The 23,944-nt window shown below is 40.4% G+C and overlaps 1 protein-coding gene across 3 annotated transcripts in view; it reads right to left on the bottom strand.

The window, feature by feature from the left end:
- Window positions 1-10,965: 10,965 nt before the first annotated feature.
- YIPF4 (Yip1 domain family member 4) overlaps window positions 10,966-23,944 on the bottom strand; it is a 38,691-nt gene continuing 25,712 nt past the window's right edge. For 2 of the 3 annotated variants that reach the window (XM_005264599.4, XM_024453173.2), the window contains one exon: window positions 20,162-20,456. In XM_005264599.4, the coding sequence (XP_005264656.1) occupies window positions 20,409-20,456 (48 nt within the window). In that variant the 3' untranslated portion in view covers window positions 20,162-20,408. Of the gene's footprint in view, window positions 22,072-23,944 lie in introns of all 3 variants that reach the window. The other variant, NM_032312.4, reaches the window with a different exon arrangement.

The raw sequence follows: 23,944 nt of genomic DNA, 5'->3' as shown, positions 1-23,944 counted from the left end.
CTGTAATCCCAGCTACTTGGGAGGCTGAGGCAGGAGAATCACTTGAACCCGGGGGGTGGAGGTTGCAGTGAGCCGAGATCACGCCATTGCACTCCAGCCTGGGCAACAAGAGCGAAACTCTGTCTCAAAAAAGAAAATAGATATAATAGGCCAGGTGTGGTGGTGCATGCCTGTAATCCCAGCTACTCTGGCCTGTATTTTCTTATACAAAAATCTATCTCTAGGTTCTTCCCTTGCCATATTTTGAGACAAAGGTAGCAGGTAGGAGATTCTGGTACAGTTTTAGGGTACATATAAATGAAGGGAAAAACATAAAAATACTCATAAAATAAGAGTAGCATTAATTCTTTTTTTTTTTTTGAGACAGCATCTTGCTTTGTTGCCCAGGCTGAAGTGCAGTGGCGCAATCTCGGCTCACTGCAATCTCTACCTCCCGGGTTCAAGCGATTATCCTGCCTCAGCCTCCTGAGTAGCTGGGATACAGTCTTGTGCCACCATGCCCAACTAATTTTTGTATTTTTTAGTAGAGACAAGGTTTCGCCATGTTGGCAAGGCTGGTCTCAAACTGCTGGCCTCAAGTGATCCTCCTGCCTTGGCCTCCCAAAGTGCTGGGATTACAGGCGTGAGCCACCGTGCCCAGCCTAAGAGTAGCATCAATTCTTCATTCATTAATTAAATTAGTAAAAATTAAATAGATATTATGTACCAGGCACTAGGCTAGATGGTAATACTGTGTATAAAGACAGGCCTAAAAGCATTATTCCATCCCTAGTAGTACTTTCACTGCTTGAAATTTTAGAAGATATGTTCATTTAGTGTTCTTTGATGTAGGGAGCTGTCCTGAGCATTGTAGGATATTTAGTAGCATTCCTGGTTTCTACCACTAGATGCCAGTAACCTCTGCTCCCCCCTTACCCTCCCTCCCCAGTTGTGGCAATGTCTCCAGACATTTTGAAATATCCCAAGGGTAGGCTGGGCGCGGTGGCTCACACTTGTAATCCCAGCACTTTGGGAGGCCGAGGTGGGCGGATCTCGAGGTCAAGAGATCGAGATCATCCTGGCTAACACGGTGAATCCCCGTCTCTACTAAAAATACAAAAAAAAATTAGCCGGGCGTGGTGGCGGGCACCTGTAGTCCCAGCTACTCAGGAGGCTGGGGCAGGAGAATGGCATGAACCCAGGAGGCGGAGCTTGCAATGAGCCGTGATCGCGTCACTGCACTCTAGCCTGGGCAAGAGAGCGAGACTCCGTCTCAAAAAAAAAAAAAAAAAAAAAATCCCAAGGGTAAAAACTGTCCCTGGTTGAGAATCATTGTGATCACATTTTTAAAGAACTAAAGTGTATTTAATTTTAGAGATACTACTGCTATGCCAACCTTGCCTATTTCTTATGTGATGAATTTGTCTTATATGTCATTGAACATTTGAACTTGAGAAATATAAACCACAATGGAGTCTGATTCTCAGATAAGATAATTGGGATTTTAAGTTGAGTGGCATTTCCAAATAACTTATGAATTGCAGAATAAATACAATTGTGTATTTTTAGGTTATGGTGGTTTATCTTAAATCATACGTGGCTGATAAAAATATGATATCTAAGCTCTTGGCCAGGTGTGGTGGCTCACGCTTGTAATCCTAGCACTTTGGGAGGCGAAGGCAGGCGGATCACTTGAGGTCAGGAGTTCGAGACCAGCCTAGCCAACATGGTGAAACCGTGTCTTTACTAAAAATACAAAAATTAGCCGGGCATGGTGGTGCACAGCTATAATCCCAGCTACTCAGGAGGCTGAGGCACGACAATTGCTTGAACTCGGGAGGTGGAGGTTGCAGTGAGCCGAGATCACGCCATTGCACTCCAGTATGGGAGACAAGAGTGAGACTCTGTCTCAAAAAAAAAAAAAAAAAAAAAAGAAAAATAAAAAGAATTCTAAGCTCTTAGGATTTCTGTTGAGTTAACCAGATGGTATGCTTGTATCTACCCACAAAATCTTTCCATTCTTTTCAAATAAAAAGCTATTTTTCACTTTCCACTTTAAGGTCATATGCTTTTAGATTCTTTCAAAATAAAAAGATCCAGCCTACATTAGACACTAAACTATTACAAGTCCTGAGACTTGTGATAAATCTAAGGAAAATGTCACATACCTTAATTTCTTTACCCTCACCTAACCTAGGCTTCCAACCTACCACTTGTTGGAAGTTACCCGTATAGTAACAGCAAACACACATATACTCCTTATTATGTGCCAGGCAGCATTGTAAGCTCTTTTACATATATTTAAAAATTTCAAATGTTTTATTTTGGCTTAATTTCAGACAGAAAAGTTGCAAGAATAGTACAAAGAGCTCTTGGATACTTTTCACCCAGATTCACCAATTGTTACCATTTTACTACATTTGCTACCCCCTCCCACATCTCCTGTCGCTCACTCTCATGTGCTCTATCTATCTGTATATCCATCCATCCACCTCACTGTGGTCTTGTTCTTTACTCAATAGGATATATTTATTTGACTTCATTTTTTATTCTGATGTTCAAATGGTCCCAGATTTGGCCAATAAGGGGCTCTTCAAATAGGCTTCTGTGACCTATGCCATGGCACAAAGCGATGTTCCAGGCTCATCTTGTATTTTTTCTGCTCCAGTCTTAGAACTAAGCATGTATTCAAGGAGTCTCGGTTTTTTGTCAAAGGAATACTGAGCTAGAGCCAGTCCAAATCATGGTTATTTTTAAGGGAGAAGGGATTTAGAAGCCAAGATCTGGATGTTACGTGTTCTCATTGCTACTGGGCCCTATGAGGGGACAGAACTGAGAAATAAATGTATTTGTACATTTTTACACCTATATACATAGGTGCAGACACACATGCATGCGTACACATTCATTAACATTTAGTCTTCACTACAACCCTATGAAGTAATTACTTTTTTTTTTTTATGAGACGGGGTCTTGCTCTGTTGCCCAAGCTGGAGTGCAATGGCATGATCTCAGCTCACCACACCCTCTGCCTCCCGGGTTCAAGCCATTCTCCTGCCTCAGCCTCCTGAGTAGCTGGGACTACAGGCATGCACCACCATGCCTGGCTAATTTTTGTATTTTGTATTTATTTATTTATTTGAGACGGAGTTTTGCTCTTGTTGCCCAGGCTGGAGTGCAATGGCGTGATCTCGGCTCACTGCAACCTCTGCCTCCCAGGTTCAAGTGATTCTCCTGCCTCAGCCTCCCGAGTTGCTGGGATTACAGGTGTGTGCCACCACGCCCAGCTAATTTTTTGTATTTTTAGTAAAGACAGTGTTTCACCATGTTAGCCAGGCTGGTCTCGAACTCCTAACCTTAGATGATCCACCCGCCTCAGCCTCCCAAAGTGTAATTTTTGTATTTTTAGTAGAGAAGAGGTTTCACTATGTTGGCCGGGCTGATCTTGAACTCCTAACTTCGTGATCCACCTGCCTTGGCCTCCCAAAGTGCTGGGATTATGGGTGTGAGCCACAGCATCTGGCCTCAAGTAAATACTTTTATTGCTCTCATGTTCTCAGTTTTGAGACTCAGAAGAAGTTAATTTCTGACTGAAATTAAGCTAAAATAAACATTAAAAAATTTTAAATATACGTAAAAGAGCTTACAATGCTGCCCGGCAAATAACTTGGCAAAGGTCTCCTGGTTAAGTGGTAAGGCTGAGATTGGAAGATGGGCAGTCTAGCTCCAGGCTCCCCTCTTAGCATTAATATTTGAAGATAAAAGGGTTGAGAAGGAAGTTTATCCTACATGACCTAAGAATCCTATTGAGTTCTTTAGCTTAATGTCTTGTACCGTGGTCTACCTGGAGAGAAGAAGGGGCTGAGGGTGTACTGCTGGCCTGGATATAAAATCCAAGTAACAGACTTCACATAGAATTGATTTTCCCTTTGGAAGACTAAAGGTTTGCAACTGCACCAGACTTGCTGTACCTGGCTCTATTCCCTAAGGATGAGTTTAGTCCTACAAGGATTTTCAGTCTATTTTCAGGAAATAGGCTTCTAGTGGGTTTGCCCTGCAAACCACTGTATGTGCTCATTGTTCACCTCAGGCTAAGCTGAGGCTCCACCTCCTGCTGCTTATTCAAATTTCAACCTACTAATGAAAAGCAAGGGAATTAGTGTATTATTTTAAGTGGAACATAAACAGGATCATGGATTTTTAGATAAGGCCAAAGAAAATTTATTACTTTAAAATTAATTAAGAAGTACTTCACGGTAAAATATTGGGAAGTTTTTAATACCATCTATACGGAAAACAGTTGTCTTGCTCAAGACTACATTGCTCTGATACCAGTGTGAATTTATCTTTGGAAGGTTTTGTAATAGCAGAAAGAAGTAGCTGAACACAAATGAGACATAACTTTTTGTATTTTTAGTACAGATGGGGTTTCACCATGTTGGCCAGGCTGGTCTCAAACTCCTGACCTCAAGTGATCCGCCTGCCTCAGCCTCCCAAAGTGCTGAGATTACAGGTATGATCCACTGCATCTGGCCTGAGACATATATTCATATATTCTTTTTCCTTTCTTTTTTTTTGTTTTTTGAGACGGAGTTTCACTTTTGTTGCCCAGGCTGGAGTGCAATGGCACGATCTCGGCTGACCGCAACCTCTGCCTCCTGGGTTCAAGCGATTCTCCTGCCTCAGCCTCCCAAGCAGCTGGAATTACAAGCATGTGCCATGACACCTGGCTAATTTTTTTGTAGAGACAGGGTTTCACCATGTTGGCCAGGCTGGTCTCGAACTCCTGACCTCAGGTGATCTGCCCTCTTCGGCCTCTCAAAGTGCTGGGATTACAGGTGTGAACCACTGCACATGGCCTAAGACACATGTTCTTAACTTTGGGAATGGTATCATGAAAATGAAAAAATTCATGTGGCCGGGCATGGTGGTTCTTGCCTGTAATCCCAGTACTTTGCTTTTTTTTTTTTTTTTTTTGAGACGGAGTCTCGCTGTCGCCCAGGCTGGAGTGCAGTGATGAGATCTCAGCTCACTGCAGGCTCCGCCCTCTGGAGTTCACGCCATTCTCTTGCCTCAGCCTCCCGAGTAGCTGGGACTACAGGCGCCCGCCATCTCGCCCGGCTAATTTTTTTGTATTTTTAGTAGAGACGGGGTTTCACCGTGTTAGCCAGGATGGTCTGCATCTCCTGACCTCGTGATCCGCCTGCCTCGGCCTCCCAAAGTGCTGGGATTACAGGCATGAGCCACCGTGCCCGGCCAATCCCAGTACTTTGGAAGGCTGATGCAGGAGGCTCATTTGAGCCCAGGAGTTAGAAACCAGCCTAAGCAACATAGTGAGACCCTGTCTCTGCAAAAATAAAAATAAAAAATAAAAAAAATTAGCTGGGCATGGTGGTATGAGTCTATAGTCCCAGCTACGTAGGAGGCTGAGGCGGGATGACTGCTTGAGCCCATAGTGCGGTGAGCTATGATCATGCTGTCCTGCTGGACCCCTATTGACTCCAGTAGGGATGGCACAAGGGTCAAGAGGCTGAAAAAGAGACCTAGAGCCAGCAAGGGAGACATAGGGTTTAACCAGGGGGAACTTTCATACAGGGACAGTGCAGCGGCAGTGGGCTGGACAGGAGAATTGCTACTGCTTGTAAAAAGCATGCAGTTTATATAGCACCTTCGCTTAGCACCCTCCACCCCAGCAACCTCCACATAGCAACCCTAATTTCTTAGGTTGTTATTGCTGCCAGGCGCTTCTGCCATACAGGGTCATTCTCAGGGTATGCTTCAGTCAAGCTGTTGCTGTCAGGTGTGTCAGGTGTGTACACACGCCACTGTGCTCCAGCTTGGGCAAACCAGAATGAGACCCAGTCTCGAAAAAACATTTTTTAAAATAATAATTTTAAAAAAGATGCTCCAATTCATTGGTAATTGGGGACATTAAAACCATAATGAGATACCATTAGATTGGCAAAAGTTAAGAATTCTGAGAATTCCAAGCATTGTCATTGGATTGGTGAAGCAAAAGGAACTTTCTAGTAAGAGGGATGTTGGTGTATTCACTTTGGAGAGCAATTTAGCAACTTACATTGACATACATGCCTAGGACCCAGCAATTCTACTCCTTGGTAAATTTTCTTTCTTTTTTTGGGGGGGAGACAGAGTCTCACTCTGTCGCCCAGGCTGGAGTGCAGTGGTGTGATCTCGGCTCACTGCACCCTCCGCCTCCCCCGTTCAAGTGATTCTCCTGCCTCAGCCTCCCAAGTAGCTGGGACTACAGGTGTGTGCCACCATACCTGGCTAATGTTTGTATTTTTAGTAGAGATGAGGTTTCACCAGGTTGCCCAGGCTGGTCTCAAACTCCTGGCCTCAAGGGATCCATCCACCTCGGCCTCCCAAAGTGCTGGGATAACAGGTGTGAGCCATCACACCTGGCTAATTTTATAGATTTTTATGTTATTTTTAATGCTTAGGGTAATATAATTTTGACTATCCATGTTATCTCACTTTAAAATGAGCTCTATTTTTCTCTTAAACAGGTTTCTGAAAATCAACATGCACTAAAGTATACTTATAATAAGATTGTACCAAAGTCACTCATCTAAAAATGTCCATATTTTAAGACTATGCCCAGGGAAAAAAGGATAGAAAGTGTATTAGTGACAAAGTGAATCCAAGGAAAGAGAATCTATGGAATGTATAAAGAAAGAAAGAGATTTATTATACGGAATTGGCTTACTTGAATATAGAGGCTGACAAGTCCCAAGAACTTCAGTGTGAATCTGAAGACCAACAGGTCCAAAATCCAGGAAGAGCTAATGTTTCAGTTTAGTCTGAAGGTAGGAAAAAAATCAGCTCAAAGGCAGTCAGGCAGGAGGCAACCTGTCTTACTCATGGAGGTAAATTAGCTTTTTATTTGTTCTATTTACGCCTTCAACTGATTAGGGCCACCCACATTAGGGAGGCCAATCTACTCTGTCTACCAATTTGAATTTTGTTTGTGTGTTTGTTTGTTTGTTTTGAGACAGAGTCTTGCTCTGTTGCCCAGGCTGGAGTGCAGTGCCACGATCTCTGCTCACTACAAGCTCCGCCTCCCGGGTTCACGCCATTCTCCTGCCCCAGCCTCCCGAGTAGCTGGGACTACAGGTGCCTGCCACCACGCCCGGCTAATTTTTTTTGTATTTTTTAGTAGAGACGGGGTTTCTCCGTGTTAGTCAGGATGGTCTCGATTTCCCGACCTCGTGACCCGCCTCAGCCTCCCAGAGTGCTGGGATTACAAGCGTGAGCCACCGCGCCCGGCCACCAATTTGAATGTTAATCTCATCCAACAGTGCTCTCACAGACATATCTAGAATAATGTTTGACCATATATATGGGCAATCCGTGGCCCAGTTAAGTTTACACATAAAATTAACTATCACAAGGCCGGGCGCGGTGGCTCACGCCTATAATCCCAGTACTTTGGGAGGCCGAGGCGGGCGGATCACCAGGTCAGGAGATTGAGACCATCCTGGCTAACACGGTGAAACCCCATCACTACTAAAAATACAAAAAATTAGCCGGGCGTGGTGGCGGGCGCTTGTAGTCCCAGCTACTCGGGAGGCTGAGGCAGGAGAATGGCATGAACCCGGGAGGCGGAGCTTGCAGTGAGCCGAGATCATGCCACTGCACTGGTCAACAGAGGGAGACTCCGTCTTAAACAAACAAACAAACAAACAAACAAATTAACTATCACAGAAAGGAAATATATCAAAATGCTATCATACATTTTATTAGATAATAATAACTTCCTTTGGATTTGGCTCTATATTTTATTTCAAATACCATATTGTACTTCCTTAAATCATTATTGCTTTTTTCATGCTTTTAGTTTTATATGTTCAATCACTTTTAGCTTTTGTCAAATTCATTTATGAATAAAACATATTCTCTTGAAAACCTAAACAAAGAATTGACATTTTGCTAAAACAATTTTCATAAGGCCAAATTTCTAAAAATATTTTTGGCCATATGAGGTGGCTCATGCTTGTAATCCTAGCACTTTGGGAGGCTATTTAGTCACTATTTCAAATTCTTTATTGTTGAAACATTTATATACCCTCTTAATTTTCTCACTGATGATTGCAAATCTTTGTTTAAAGCATGAGTTTTAAATGAACATGATTGCTTTTTGGATGAAAAACGCATTTAACACTTTGAACACCACAATTTTTGATAACTGCTAGCACCTAACATTCACTTCACCACTTGCAATGTCATGTTTTTCTTTTCTTTTTTCTTCTTTTTTATTTTTTTATTTTTGAGATGGAGTTTCGCTCTTGTTGCCCAGGCTGGAGTGCAATAGCGCAATATCGGCTTACTGCAACCTCTGCTTCCTGGGTTCAAGCGATTCTCCTGCTTCAGCTTCCCAAGTAGCTGGGATTACAGGCACGCGCCACCACGCCTGGCTAATTTTGTATTTTTAGTAGAGACAGGGTTTCTCCATGTTGCTCAGGCTGGTCTCAGACTCCCGACCTCAGGTGATCTGCACCCCCTCTGCCTCCCAAAGTGCTGGGATTACAGGCGTGAGCCACTGCACCCAGCCACAGTGTCATGTTTTTCATTTCAGAGACGAAAATCATGTTTTATTTGTATTAATTCTTGCACAGTATCAAAAGAGATTTCAGGATGTTTCAAGACATGATCCAAGCTATGGTTCATTATCATGTTCTTCCATAGTATAAAAATATGAACATTTACAACATTTAAAATAACGCTAAACTTATCAACACTTTGCTGACACTTCATTCTGTGTGTTTCCAACTTATACCCTGTTTTTGAGACATGTTCTTACTATGTCACCCAAGCTGGAATGCAGTGGTGCAATCTTGGCTCACTGCAACCACCTCCGTCTCCCAGGTTCAAGCGATTCTCCTGCCTCAGCCTCCCGAGTAGCTAGCATAACAGGCATGTGCCACCACGCCTGGCTAATTTCTGTATTTTTTGTAGGGACGGGGTTTCACTATGTTGGCCAGGCTGGTCTTGACCTCAAGTGATCTGCCAGCCTCAGCCTCCCAAAGTGCTGGGATTACAGGTGTGAGCTACCGCATCCGACCTCCAACTTATAACTTTTAATTCAAGCACAATACCCATTCAGAAAGGTGTACATGTTATAAGTCTACAGCTTGATAAATTTTTCAGACTAACTGCACCCATGTAATTAGCTCTCAGATTAAGAAATAGAACATGCTAACATCCTAGAAGCCCAAATCTCTGTACTCTCCTTCAGTTACTTCCTTGCCACTCAAGGGTAACTAACATCCTGTTTTTGTACTTTACATTAATAGAATCATAAAGTATATTCTTTTGTATCTGTGTTCTGTTCAATATTATGTTTTTGAGATTCATCCATATTCTTTTTTTTTTTTTGAGATAGGGTCTCACTATGTGGCCCAGGCTGTAGTGCAGTGGTGTGATCACAGCTCACTGCAGCCTCGACCCCCTGGGCTCAGGTGATCCTCCCACCTCAGCCTCCCGAGTAATTGGGACCACAGGTGCATGCACCACCATGCCTGGCTAACTTTTTTGTATGTGTAGAGACGGGGTTTTGCCATGTTGCCCAGGCTGGTCTCAAACTCCTGGGCTAAGCAATCTGCCCACCTTAGCTTTCCCAAGTGCTGGGATTACAAGCGTGAGCCACCATGCCAGGGCGAGCAAGATTCATTCATATTCTTATGTGCAGCTATACATCTTTCACATATTGTATTATGTGAATACACCATAATTTGCTACGTTGGTTTCCAGTTTGGGGCATGAATGGTTGTAATTATGAATGCTACTGCTATGAACACTCACTGCTGTCAGTACAGTAGCCATTAGCTACATGTGGCTCTTTAAGTAAAATTAAATTGAAAATCAGCTCCTCAGTTGGATTAGCCACATTTCAAGTGCTCATGAGACTAGTGGCTTTACAAACAGCATAGAATGTAGAATATTTTCATTAATACAGAAAGTTCCATTACACAGCACTGTATACATGACTTGATAAACATGAGTTGCCAGGTTATAGGGTGTATATATACTCAGCATTGATAGAAAATAGTGTCAAGCAGTTTTGGGGTGTTTGTTTTCAAATATTTGTTATAAATTCCTCAATTTTAAAATATGAAAATGCTTTACTTTTTTTTTGAGATGGAGTCTTGCTCTGTCACCAGGCTGGAGTGCAGTGGTGCGATCTCGGCTCACTGCAATCTCCGCCTCCCAGGTTCAAGCAATTCTCTGCCTCAGCCTCCCGAGTAGCTGGGACTACAGGTGCACATCACCACACTCGGCTAATTTTTTGTATTTTAGTAGAGACGGGGTTTCGCCATGTTGGCCAGGATGGTCTCAATCTCCTGACCTCATGATCGGTGCACCTTGGCCTCCCAAAGTGCTGGGATTACAGGCATGAACCACTGTGCCCAGCCACTTTACTTACTTTTTACCTAAGAATTACAACGCACTAACAGTAAAACCAAATAAAAAACTAGACTAGGGCGGGCGTGGTGGCTCATGCCTGTAATCCCAGCACTTTGGGAGGTCGAGGTGGGCAGATTACGAGGTCAAGAGACAGAGACCACCTGGCCAACATGGTGAAACCCTGTCTCTACCAAAAATACAAAAATTAACTGGGCATGGTGGCACAAGCCTGTAGTCCCAGCTACTCGGGAGGCTGAGGCAGGAGAATCGCTTGAACCCGGGAGGCGGAGGTTGCAGTGAGCCGAGATCACATCACTGCACTCCAGCCTGGGCGACAGAGCGAGACTCCGTCTTGAAAAAAAAAAAAAAAAACTAGACTAAAAGTATTTAAAAGCAGTAGCAACTGTTACAGCAAGGAATGCTTCATAGGTAATACATAATGCAGCTACATTATTTACCAAGATGCAGGCCAAGCTAGCAGATGTTACAAATGTTTCTTAGGTGTCATTACAACAAAGAGGTTATCAATAGTTGTCACAAAAGACAAATTAATCCATATTAGAATTTACACAATTTATTAATTTTAGTGTTGTACTTACAATAATACTATTTACCATTGACACAGATGCATTTCAATAGTTTAACAATTGAGACAGTCATGCTGGTCTCTATCAGTGAAATATCATATCTGCTTATAATCCCAACCAATACTGGATATTATTAATCTTTTAAAGTTTTGGGAATCCGAGAGGCCAACGTTGTTAATTCACATTTAATCATGAATGAATTTGTGCATCTTTACATATATTAGTTGGTCTTTTTACCCTCCCCTTGAATTGCTGATTTATATCCCTAGCCCATTTTATTGATTTATAAATATTAATATTACATACATGATATGATTGTCCAAGTATTTCCTTTGCCCATTTAAATTTACTGATAAATGTTTTTATTAAGAAAATTAGTCCTTTGTCTACATAAGTCCTACAAATATTTTTCCCCAATTTGTAGTTCATCTTTTTCCTGTAGAATCATTTTAAATGACAGGTCTTCAAGTGTCTTCATCACTTTTCCTTTCGCTTCTGTGCTTTATACTTTTTTTTTTTTTTTGGTTTTTTTTTTTTTTTCCTTTTTGGGGAGAACGGGGTCTCGCTATATTGCCCAGGCAGGTCTTGAACGCCTGGGCTCAAGCTATGCTCCTGCCTCTTGCCTCCCTGAGAGCTGGGATTACAGGCATGAGCCACCGTGCCTGGCCATGGCTTCTGTGTTTCATTTAACGCTTTGAAAGCCCCATCTTCTCAAAGATTATATGAAAAGCTTATTCCAGTTTTTAAAATATTTGATACAAGGGTAATGTACTTTGGTATAAGGAGTGAGGTATAGATCCAGCTTTATATTTTTCTTTTTTTTTTTGAGACGGAGTCTTGCCTTGTCACCCAGGCTGGAGTGCAGTGGCGCGATCTCGGCTCACTGCAATCTCCGCCTCCCGGGTTCATGCCACTCTCCTGCCTCAGTAGCTGGGACTACAGGCGCCCGCCACCAAGCCCGGCTAATTTTTTATATGTTTAGTAGAGACGGGGTTTCACCACGTTAACCAGGATGGTCTCGATCTCCTGACCTCAGGATCCGCCCGCCTCGGCCTCCCAAAGTGCTGGGATTTCAGGCGTGAGCCACCGCGCGCAGCCCAGCTTTACATTTTTCAGACTGGCCTACCATGTCTTTGTCAGACATTGCCATTTACCTACCTAGCATCCATTCTTCCTAACAGATCCCTGACTTCACTCAGGGCTGGGATGTCCCAGCTTAAAATACTTTCCCCAACTCTCTTACAGCAAGGGATGGCTATGTGATTCAGTTCTGTCCCATGAGACATGGATGGAAGCCACTAAGTGGGGCTTCCAGAGATTTTAAATAAGGACACCTTTGACTGACATGCTCCATTTGGTCTCTTAAGCTTCATCTTCTTCCTGCTTGAAATGTAGATGTAATACTTAGAGGTGAAATAACTTTTCTGAGACAATGAGGATGAAAGCCACTCACCAAAGATGGCAGAATAGAGCAATAAATGGACCTTGAGTTCTTAATAACACTGTTAAACTGCCATATCAGTTATGGATTATGTAACCTTGGATTTATTACGTGAAAAAATAAACTCACAGTGAAGCTAGTAATCACAGGAATTTTTGTTTCTTGCAACCAAATATGTTCCTATCTGATACAGTATCCCCACTTATTTAATATTCCATCTTTTTATACCAATTTGACATGCTACCTTCATCACCTTCCCATGTATAATTAATTGGGTATAATTCTGGAAACCCTCCTGTTTCATTGACCTAAATGACTTAAATTTTTAATAGCTAATATAATAACAGCCAATGTTTGTTGAATGCCAAAACTATTCTGTTTATTACATTAATTATCTAGTTCATTTAACCCTCACAACAGCGCTTGGAGCCTTATTTTTTTATTTTTTTTTGAGACGAAGTTTTGCTCTTCTTGCCCAGGCTGGAGTGCAATGGTGACATCTCAGCTCACCACACTCTCCACCTCCCAGGTTCAAGCGATTCTCCTGTCTCAGCCTCCAGAGTAGCTGGGATTACAGGCACGCGACACCACGCCCAGCTAATTTTGTATTTTTAGTAGAGATGGGGTTTCTCCATGTTGGTCAGGCTGGTCTCAAACTCCCAACCTCAGGTGATCTGCCAGCCTCTGCCTCCCAAAGAGCTGGGATTACAGGCGTAAGCCACCGCACCTGGCCAAGGAATTCTAAAGCTGTTTTAAAAGACTGCATTTCAGTATGCATCCCTAAACACTATAGCTTAATTTTGCCTGTGTTTGAACTTCATATAAATGAAGTAATACAGTACAAATTCTTTGTCTTTTTCACTCAACATAATACTTGTGAAATTCTTCATGTTTTTGTATGCGGCTTTAGTTCATTTATTTTCATTGCTGCATAAGATTCCATTGTGTAATTATACCAACTTGTCTATTCTGTGTTGATGGACATGTTCCCGTTTTTGGCTATTTGAATAATGTTAACTGTGCACATTCTTGTACATATGTCTCTTATGGTACATGTACATGCATTTCGGTTGAATATATGTCAAGAGTATAATTGCATATCTTGGCCTTTAGTATTAAAAGCACGTTTCTGGCTGGGCGCAGTGGTTCATGCCTATAATCCCAGCACTTTGGGAGGCCAAGGCGGGCAGATCACCTGAGGTTAGCAGTTCGAGACCAACATGGTGAAATCCCGTCTCTACTAAAAATACAAAAATTAGCCGAGTGTGGCAGTGGGTGCCTGTAATCCCAGCTACTCGGGAGGCTGAGGCAGGAGAATCGCTTGAACCCAGAAGGCAGAGGTTGCAGTGAGCCAAGATCGCGCCACTGCACTCCAGCCTGGCAACAGAGCAAGACTTTGTCTAATAAAATAAAATAAAGCACATTTCTGATACCGTATTTCTACTCAAAAGCTCTGACAGGCTGGGCACAGTGTCTCACGCCTGTAATCCCAGCACTTTGGGAGGTTGAGGTGGGCAGATCACCGGAGGTTGGGAGTTCAAGACCCGCTTGGCCTACATGGAGAAACCGTCTTTACTAAAAACAAAAAAATTAGCCGGGTGTGGTGATGGGCACCTGTAATCCCAGCTACTTGGGAGGCTGAGGCAGGAGAATCACTTGAACCTGGGAGGCAGAGGTTGCAGTGAGCCGAGATTGCACCACTGCACTCCAGCCTCAGCGAGACAGCGAGACTCCATCTCAACAAAAAAGCTCTGACAAAGAAAGAATGGCCTAGAATGTCAGGTATGGTGCTGACATACCTGTTCAATTTCATTAACCACTAAACTTCAAACTGGTTTTCTTTTTATATTTTTAAATTTTTTTCCCCAAGCAAACTCACAAACTGCGATTCTATCTGAAAGAGTCTTCCCTACCTTCTTTGCCTAGTTAACTTTTATTTTTCCCTAAGATTTCAGCTTAAGCATCGTTGCTTCAAGGAAGGCTTCTTTTATATACTTGCTTACCACCACAGGCCTCTTTTTCTCATTTCTTGAAATAGTTTTACAATTTGTGAAATTAATTGGCTGAGTCCCCAGCAAAATAAGCTCATTAAAGTCAGGGTGTGTGTATATTGGGGGGGGCGGTCTTTTTTTTTGAGACAGAGTCTCGCTCTGTCACCCAGGCGGGAGTGCAGTGGCGCGATCTCTGCTTACTGCAAGCTCCGCCTCCCGGGTTCACACCATTCTCCTGCCGCAGCCTCCCAAGCAGCTGGGACTACAGGCGCCTGCTACCACGCCCGGCTAAATTTTGTATTTTTAGTAGAGACGGGGTTTCACCGTGTTAGCCAGGATGGTCTCGATCCCCTGACCTCGTGATCCACCCGCCTCGGTCTCCCAAAGTGCTGGGATTGCAGGCGTGAGCCACCGCGCCCGGCCTATTGGGGGTCTTTTTTGCATTATCACTGTATCCCTACACTCAGCACAGTACTAGGTTCATACAGGAAGGGGTTAATAAATATGTGATTAATATCTATTGTCCCTTCACATTCAGGGTGCCAAATTCAAAGGCTGTTTCTTCTCAATGTTTTATTATTCAGGCCACCACTAGCACAATCCTTTGAAAATAATTTTTTTTTTTTTTTTTTTTTTTTTTTTTTTTGAGACGGATTCTCGCTCTGTCGCCCAGGCTGGAGTGCAGTGGCGCGATCTCGGCTCACTGCAACCTCCGCCTCCCGGGTACACGCCATTCTCCTGCCTCAGCCTCCCGAGTAGCTGAGACTACAGGCGCCCGCTGCCACGCCCGGCTAATTTTTGGTATTTTTAGTAGAGTCAGGGTTTCACCGTGTTAGCCAGGATGGTCTCGATCTCCTGACCTCGTGGTCCGCCCACCTCGGCCTCCCAAAGTGCTGGGATTACAGGCGTGAGCCACCGCGCCTGGCCGAAAATAGATTTTTATAAGGTAAAAGATTTTATTAAGTACCATTTGGTAAAAAAAGATTGAATGAGGAATTTAGTACCTAGGCCCATCATCATAAACGTGAGTATTTTTACTGTTTTCCATGAAGAGACTATAATTATCACATGAAGTAATTCTCCATAAGGATTACAAAACATATGAGTTGTTTCATTATTAAATGGTGCTTACTATTAAAAAGATACTTTACATGGAGAACTAATTCCACCAAAGTGAGTAGGTATAAAATAGAGCAAAAATATTGAACTTAATCATTTATTCTTCAACAAGTGCTTATTATGCAAATAGCAGCAATCTGCTTTTACATTATCTTTTTCCCTTTATCACCAGATGAGAAATTTCTCCCCATTATCATTTTGTGTAATTTCACTTGTTCTTGTGTAAATACTTCTGTTTGGTTTTTAATAAAAATTGCTCAGTGGCAAATATTACAGAAAAACCAAGGTTTTTATTCTTGATAATTTACTGATAGTCTAGTGTTAACAAAATTATTACAGGTGGGAATGCTTCCTTTTTTCGTAAGTATTAACAACTTGTATATACACTAATTACAACTTCAAAATATTTTACACAAATATTCTTTTTCATATTAGTATCTAACTTAATTATCTCAGCAACAGCATTAGTATAGCATGGACTACTATAAACCAAACATCTTCAAAGTAAAAACTTGCAAATATCTTGCTGAAAATAGAAAAGTTGAAACCAAGATACTGCCAATATAAAAATGTAAAGCAGGGAAATGTTTTACCACTGCCATCTTCCCTATATTCTTTCTCTAATGTAACCTCCAAACTGTAACCTCAGCATATCAAAAGAATTTTCAAAGAGAAAACTAATCCTAAATTTCATGTTTAATAACATATGCCTTGTATAGGGAACATTCTCTTAACCATTTTTTAATCACTACAACCCAGAAAGACATGGTTTGGTCTAAAATTTTCACCAGTTTGTTATAAATAAAATGTATTCATAAGTAGAACTTTCTTCAGAATGTATTTTTTTTAAGAGACAAGGTCTTACTTACTATGTTGCCCAGGCTGGAGTGCAGTGGTTATTCACAGGCACGATCCCACAACCGATCAGCATGGGAGTTTTTATGTATTGTAGTGCAAAAATGTAGGAATGTCTAGCTTTTTTGATGTCAAAGTTGTAATTTAGGGATTTACTTGAAGAGTGTCAAGAGATTCTCAAACACACAAAATGCTGCTAGGAAATTACAGTTGAACCTTGAACACCACAAATTTGAATAGTGCGGGTCAACTTACATGCAATTTTTACTTTTTTTTTCTTTTCTGAGACAGGGTCTCACTCTGTCGCCCAGGCTGGCATGCAGTGGTGTGATCGCGGCTCACTGCAGCCTCAACCTCCCAGGCTCAAGCAATTCTCCTGCCTCACAGCCTCCTGAGTAGCTGGGACCACAGGCAGGTGCCACATGCCCAGCTAATTTTTCTTTTGTAGAGATGGGGTCTCACTACGTCGACCAGGCTGATTTTGAACTCCTGGCCACAAAACAGTCCTCCCGCCTCAGCCTTCCAAAGTGCTGGGATTACAGGTATGATACTGTACCCAGGCATACAAACAATTTTTTTTTCCCAAACAAACTAGGATTGAAAATACAGTACTGTCAGGATGCAAAACCCATATAAATGATAGGCCTACTTTTTGTATACTTGGATTCTGCAGGGAAGACTGTGAGACTTGAGTATGGGTGGAATTTGGTATGCAGTGGTTCTGGTACCAATCCCCTTCGTATATAGAGGAACAGCTGTACACAAATGAGGAATGAAGCACTTCTAATTCAGGGTATTTTCTAAATTAAAGTATTATTATGATTTTTTCAGAGGCAGGATCTCGCTATCTTGCCCAGGCTGGTCTACAACTCCTGGGTTCAAGCAATCCTCCTGCCATGGCCTCCCAAAGTTCTGGGATTACAGGCATGAGCCACCATGCCTGGCTGTAATTCAATTTTTAAAGGGAAATTTAAAAATAGTATAAGGCTCAAAGGTTCAATTAAAGAAACCATTTATGAAGGAGAATAATAAAATATTACTTTGTGTACATATGTCAGTGCAGAGAATTGGGTAAGGGTGATTTTTAGCTCTGTTAAGACTTGCTTCAGAATGCCATACCACAGTCTGAAAGAATCATATGAAAGTAAGATATTATTTTAAAAACAAAAGTGCCGGGCACGGTGGCTTAAGCCTGTAATCCCAGCACTTTGGGAGGCCAAGGTGGGTGGATCACCTGAGGTCAGGAGTTTAAGACCAGCCTGGCCAACATGGTGAAACCCTGTCTCCATTAAAAATTTAAAAAATTAGCTGGGCGTGGTGGCGGGCACCGGTAATCCTAGCTATTAGGGAGGCTGAGACATGAGAATTGCTTGAACCCAGGAATCAGAGGTTGCAGTGAGCTGAGATTGCGCCACACACTCCAGCCTGGGCGAGAGAGCAAGACTCCGTCTCCAAAAAAAAAAAAAAAAAAAAAAAAAGGGTCACAATTCCCTAAAGCCTAAAACTGGATAAAATGTGCACTAACAAAAATGAATATTTAGAAGTATTCAACTAGTTTTGTTCACTATGAAAAATAATTTTAAGTTGTAGAAGCATTATTTCATTCAACATTTTGTTACATCACAAAATTTTTAAATGACTAAATTTTAAACAATATTTAAACAAAAATATTTACTTCACATTTTAATTCAATGCAAATTTTCACTAATTTAGAAGTCTATGTTAATACAGATTGAGTATACCCTTTCCAAAATGCTTGGGACCAGAGTTTCTCAGGTTTCAGACTTTTTCAGATTTTGGAATATGTGCAGAAATACAGTGGTTGAGTTTTCCTAATCCAAAAATCTGAAATGCAAAATGCTCCAATGAACATTTCCTTTAAAGTGTCACATCGGCACTCAAAAATGTTCTTATCTGAAGCATTCTGAATTTTGGATTGGGGTGCTCAATGGCTGTATGAGTATTTGGGGAATTCCTGGAAATGGACACATTATTACATATAAAACTGTCTTACAGACCTTAGAAATAAGGTTTTACAATGGTTCATAAGCTTTACAAATCTTCCTAAACTACTTTTTAAAAAACAATGCTTAATTATATAGATTTTGATTTTTTTTTTTTTTTTTTTTGAGACGGAGTCTCACTCTGTCACCTAGGCTGGAGTGCAGTGGCACGATCTTGGCTCACTGCAACCTCTGCCTCCCGGGTTCAAGCGATTCTCCTGCCTCAGCCTCCCAAGTAGCTGGGACTACAGGCGCCCGCCACCATGCCCGGCTAATTTATTGTATTTTTAGTAGAGACGGGGTTTCACCATGGTCTTGATCTCCTGATCTCGTGATCCACCCGCCTCGGCCTCCCAAAGTGCTGGGATTACAGGCGTGAGCCACCGCGCCCGGCCCAGTTCTGTTTTTTTGTTTTGTTTTGTTTTGTATTTTGTGTTTTTCTTGAGATGGAGTTTCACTCCTGTTGCCCAGGCTGGAGTGCAATGGCGCGATCTCAGCTCACCGCAACCTCTGCCTCCTGGGTTCAAGCAATTCTCCTGTCTCAGCTTCCCCAGTAGCTGAGATTACAGGTATGCACCACCATGCCTGGCTAATTTTGTATTCTTAGTAGAGATGGGGTTTCTCCACATTGGTCAGGCTGGTCTCAAACTCCCAACCTCAGGTGATCCACCTGCCTCGGCCTCCCAAACTGCTGGGATTACAGGCGTAAGCCACCATGCCCAGCCTGTTTTAAAAATTCTAATGAACTGGCCTGGTGCGGTGGCTGACACCTGTAATCCCGGCACTTTGGGAGGCTGAGGCGGGCGGATCACGAGGTCAGGAGATCGAGACCATCCTGGTTAACACGGTGAAACCCCATCTCTACTAAAAATACAAAAAATTAGCCAGGCATGGTGGTGGGCGCCTGTAGTCCCAGCTACTCGTGAGGCTGAGGCAGAAGAATGGTGCAAACCCGGGAGGCAGAGCTTGCAGTGAGCCGAGATCGTGCCATTGCACTCCAGCTTGGGTGACAGAGTGACTCTGTCTCAAACAACAACAACAAAATTCTAATTAATAATTAGATTGGAAATCATTATTTAAAAAATTAGTTATGACTCAGAAAATATTATTATATAAAAATTCAAGGAGAGGACATTATTAGGGTCATCTTACCATTATTAGCCATAGCAGTACTGTGTCTTGCACACATCTACAAATCATGGTTTTTTTTTTTTTTTTTTTTTTTTTTGAGAGAGTCTTGCTCTGTTACCCAGGCTGGAGTGCAATGGCACAATCTTGGCTCACTGCAACCTCCACCTCCAAGGGTTCAAGCGATTCTCCCTGCCTCAGCCTCCTGAGTAGCTGGGATTATACAGGCGCCTGCCACCACGCCCGGCTAATTTTTGTATTTTTAGTAGAGACGGGGTTTCGCCATGTTGGCCAGGCTGGTCTCAAACTCCTGACTCAAGCTGCTCATCCACTTTGGCCTCCCAAAGTGCTGGGATTACAGGCGTGAGCCACTGTGCCTGGCCTACAAATCCTGTTTTTAAACTGACAATCTGTTCTAACTACTTTGCTCATTAGCACACGAAAATGATACTGGTTGAGTTCGAAACATTGTAATTTGTATTTATAGAAACCCTAAGTAAGATAGTTCCCAAGATTAAATGCTATTTTAAAATACTTTTTGGAACAAAAATACCTCATTTTATCTTATATCATTAGGAGTAAACATGATCCATATAAGTGATTTTTAAAATTCATACCTTAAAGCAATGATAGTTTTTAAAAATTAAACCATTTTTTAATAGAGGTGATCTTAAAATACCTTCATTTATTGCCTTGTAAAATTCTACCTCCTGGTCCTGACCCCCAAGCTTTCTGTGAAAGATTCCAGGGTCAACACTATGAATGTCAAATATTATAATCCATTATAACAAAGTATTAACCTCAGCAATTTCTTAAGTGTAACAAATGTTTATCTTACGGTTGCTGCTTCTGTAGGCATAGATATTTCCTGATTACTTCATATTATTCTAACTTCTAGAAGTCCTGTCCCTCTGGTGCTTCTCACCTGTTTTTAAAAAAATCAGTACATGTAATTTTCTACATTATTCTAGCTCAAAAGTGCTCCACACTTTTTCTGCAGCTTAAAATAAGTTTTTCTTTCTTTCCTTTTGGGATTAGGGGAAAGGAAGACGGCTGGGCTTGATAACACACTCATTTGTAGGTTTGCTTCAGAGGTGCTGGATATTTCCTGATGGGTAAGTTTGCTAAAGAAATACATACCAAGAGGTCGCCATGTTATCATACTGAGGACAGCAGGAAACTCTTCCAGGTGAGACCAGAAAGGATAATACAATAATTTGCTAATAGTTAACAGACATTTGATATTTTATGGACATAAATAAAATGATTTACCTACTTTACAAAGTAATATTAACTACAGGTGTATCTAAAAACCTATGAAATTATTTGCAACAAATATTTCACTGATAAAAATTTCTTAATATTTCCCTTAGCAAAAACTGTACATTTGTTAGAGAGTACCTGATACTTGTTAAAATATCAAGTAATACAGGACATGGTGCTGTAAAACAAAACACACAACTGGGAAGTATTTTATTTTTTCTACTTCATATAACATTGTTCAACACCACAAGATTTTAAAGGTCTCTTTCCCCAACTTTTATGATTTAGAAGTACCACTTAAAAATATTTACTGATGCTGTAAATATTACTGTTTTTGTACATAGTAAAGATTTTAATGAATGCCATATCCATTATACCTCTTGCTCCTTTGGTCAGAAAGATAAACAGAAACTTTAAATCAGATGTTTGGACATTCAAAAATGGTTTTGAAAAGTATACCCAAACAAACCAAATATATATCAGCAACTATTAAAAATCAGTTTTAGTAGTTATTAAGAATTCTTAACAAGGAAGTATCGAAGCATGTGTGAGATTTTAAAAACTATATACAATTTTAAAAACAAATTTAAATTTTTAAATAAAAAAGATTAATGGCCAAATTAAAAAGTTTGTGCATCAGATTTAATATCTTAATGTTTATCAGAAATATATTTTGTGAGTAAGAATTATTTCATAAATATATATGTATAAATATAAATATATATCTGCAGGATCTGTGATGCTGGAGAAAACATTTTGAAGAAAAAAATTGCACTTTTGATTATCAAGATATTGTCAAATTTACCCTTTAAGTGAAATATAATTACCAATCCAGGTGCTTTTGGCACAAGTTTTTAGGTGAATATCGACACAATCTTAAAAACACAATGCTTTTGTATTTTATTCACTGGAATATGGAGAATCAAACAGAATTTAAAATTCTGACCCAAAAATCCCAGATAACTGCAATTGCTTAATTAAATACAAAAAAAAATTGTTTTAAAAAGCGCTTAGACTTCCCTTTCCATCTGGAACATGTAAAATTTTGCAGCAACAGGTTTTCTCCAATTCCTTCAGCAAGAATTCCCAGCCTACACACAAATTTAACACCATCTTTTTCTATTCATGTATAACTTGGATCACACACCAGTATATAACGACAAAAAATAAATGTATAATAAAAAGATTGGATAAATCAGAAGAGGCTTTTTGGTCTTGAATTCTTCACCCACTAACAATGAAGCAGCACTGTAGGCAGCCCAAAACACACCAAACAGCTTTAAAAAAAGGAAAAAAGACAAAAGGCAGCATATTAGCAAGTCAATTAACTTTTTGGATATCATAGAGTAAAAATGGTGTTTACAATATTTTTAAAAAATCAACAACCAATTTTGGTAAATAGTAAAACTTGTTACAAATGTTAAAAACTTATTAAGAATGTCCATCTTTGCTCTACTCCTTGACTTCTGTAAATGTGGTCTTATCAAACCAGTCTAATCATAAGAATCACTTGGGGTGCCTATTAAAAAGACTTGGGGGACTCTCTAGTTCTGTTAAATTATAACTTATTGTTTCTTTTTCTTTGAGCTATAATTTCTAAGGGAAGGATCTAGTTATCAGTATTTTAAATAAGTTCCCTGGTGATTATGATTAGGCAACTTTTGAAAAAACTATTATTATACCAAATTACTGAGAGAAAACTAATTCCTGCAAAGTAGGAAATTTTCCTTTTCCTTCTAAATAAGAAAATCGATTAAGTAAAAATTTTATACAATATTTATTAAGTCTTAATATTTATTAAGTTTTTTCCCAGGAATAGGCAGAAATACAGGGTTGAATAAAAAGGAGATAAAAAGATCACATTTTGTCAAGAGTTTAAATAAAGTATACTATAGTTTTTGGATCACATACATACATACTTTTAAATTATTTCTACTGGAAACTTATGCAATACTTATTGATGTAGTCACCTAACACATTTTATAGCATAAAATTAAGGAAAAACTTCAAGGAAATTCAGGGAAACTCTAATAGGAACAGACCTGGCACAAGGCAGAGTTTCTAAACCTTGCAATATTGACGTTTTAGGCTGCGTACTTCTTGGCTGTGGGGAGCTATCCTGTGCATTGTAGGATGGTTAGCAGCATTCCTGCTCTCTACACACTATATACTAGTCACACTCCTCAAAAATGCCTCCAGATGTTGACAAATGTCCCCTGGGGGACAAAATCTACCTCAGTTGAGAATCACTGGTATACAGGTAAAAAATAAATATTGGCAAACTTATTAAAAATGTATTTGGTCTGGTCCATCTTTCCACTGGGTTTGTTGAACTTAAAAAAAAAAAAAGTAACCCTATGAAATAATTCAAACATACACAAAAGTACAGGGAAATATATAAAATAAAATTTGATCAAACTGCATTTGTATTTCATGATTAGATTTTTTTCATTATAAATGCTTACAGAGTGATAAGTATTACAGAGATTTAATGTTAAATAAAATCACTGCACTTAAACTATATACTCTAATGCTGGAGTTTACTGATTAGTTTCGCATCATATTTCTCAACAAAACTCAGACTGAAATAAGAAACGTGAAATAGCTCACTACTCACAGAAGATTAAATGATCAGGAAAAAAATTTTGGCAAAGAATAATCTGAAGTTTAAAAACAATTTTACTCTAAATTTTTAATGATATAAAAAAGAGTTTTCCATTTTATAATACATTTATATGTTGTATAAAGAATATTTAGGTCCAACTTTAAGATAACTATATGATTAAAGATGACCACAGAACAATAGTTTTAACCATTTTGGGAGTAGTCTCAGAAACAAGCTTAACCCAAGTGAAAAAACACACACCAGGAAATGATGGTAAGTGAGTGGTATGTTCACTAAGGCTGGAATAGGAATAATTAAATGTCTGCTGCAACGTTAAGACTTTAAACTAAGTTCTAATAATGCCAATTTCAAAAAAAGGCTTTAGGGTTATACTGAATAGGAAAACAAGGTATCTTTAGTCTCTGAAGTATTTAAACACAAAGATGATCTCAAAATATTACAATTTGGGTTTTTATTGAGACAAGGTCTCACTGTCACCTACACTGGAGTACAATGGTACGATCACTGCTCACTGCAGCCTCAAC

The sequence above is a fragment of the Homo sapiens genome, chromosome 2 (assembly GCF_000001405.40).
Source record: "Homo sapiens chromosome 2, GRCh38.p14 Primary Assembly".
NCBI classification, from domain to species: Eukaryota; Metazoa; Chordata; class Mammalia; order Primates; family Hominidae; genus Homo; species Homo sapiens.
The sequence above is the reverse complement of the archived record's forward strand: the minus strand, read 5'-3'. Positions and strand labels throughout refer to the sequence as shown.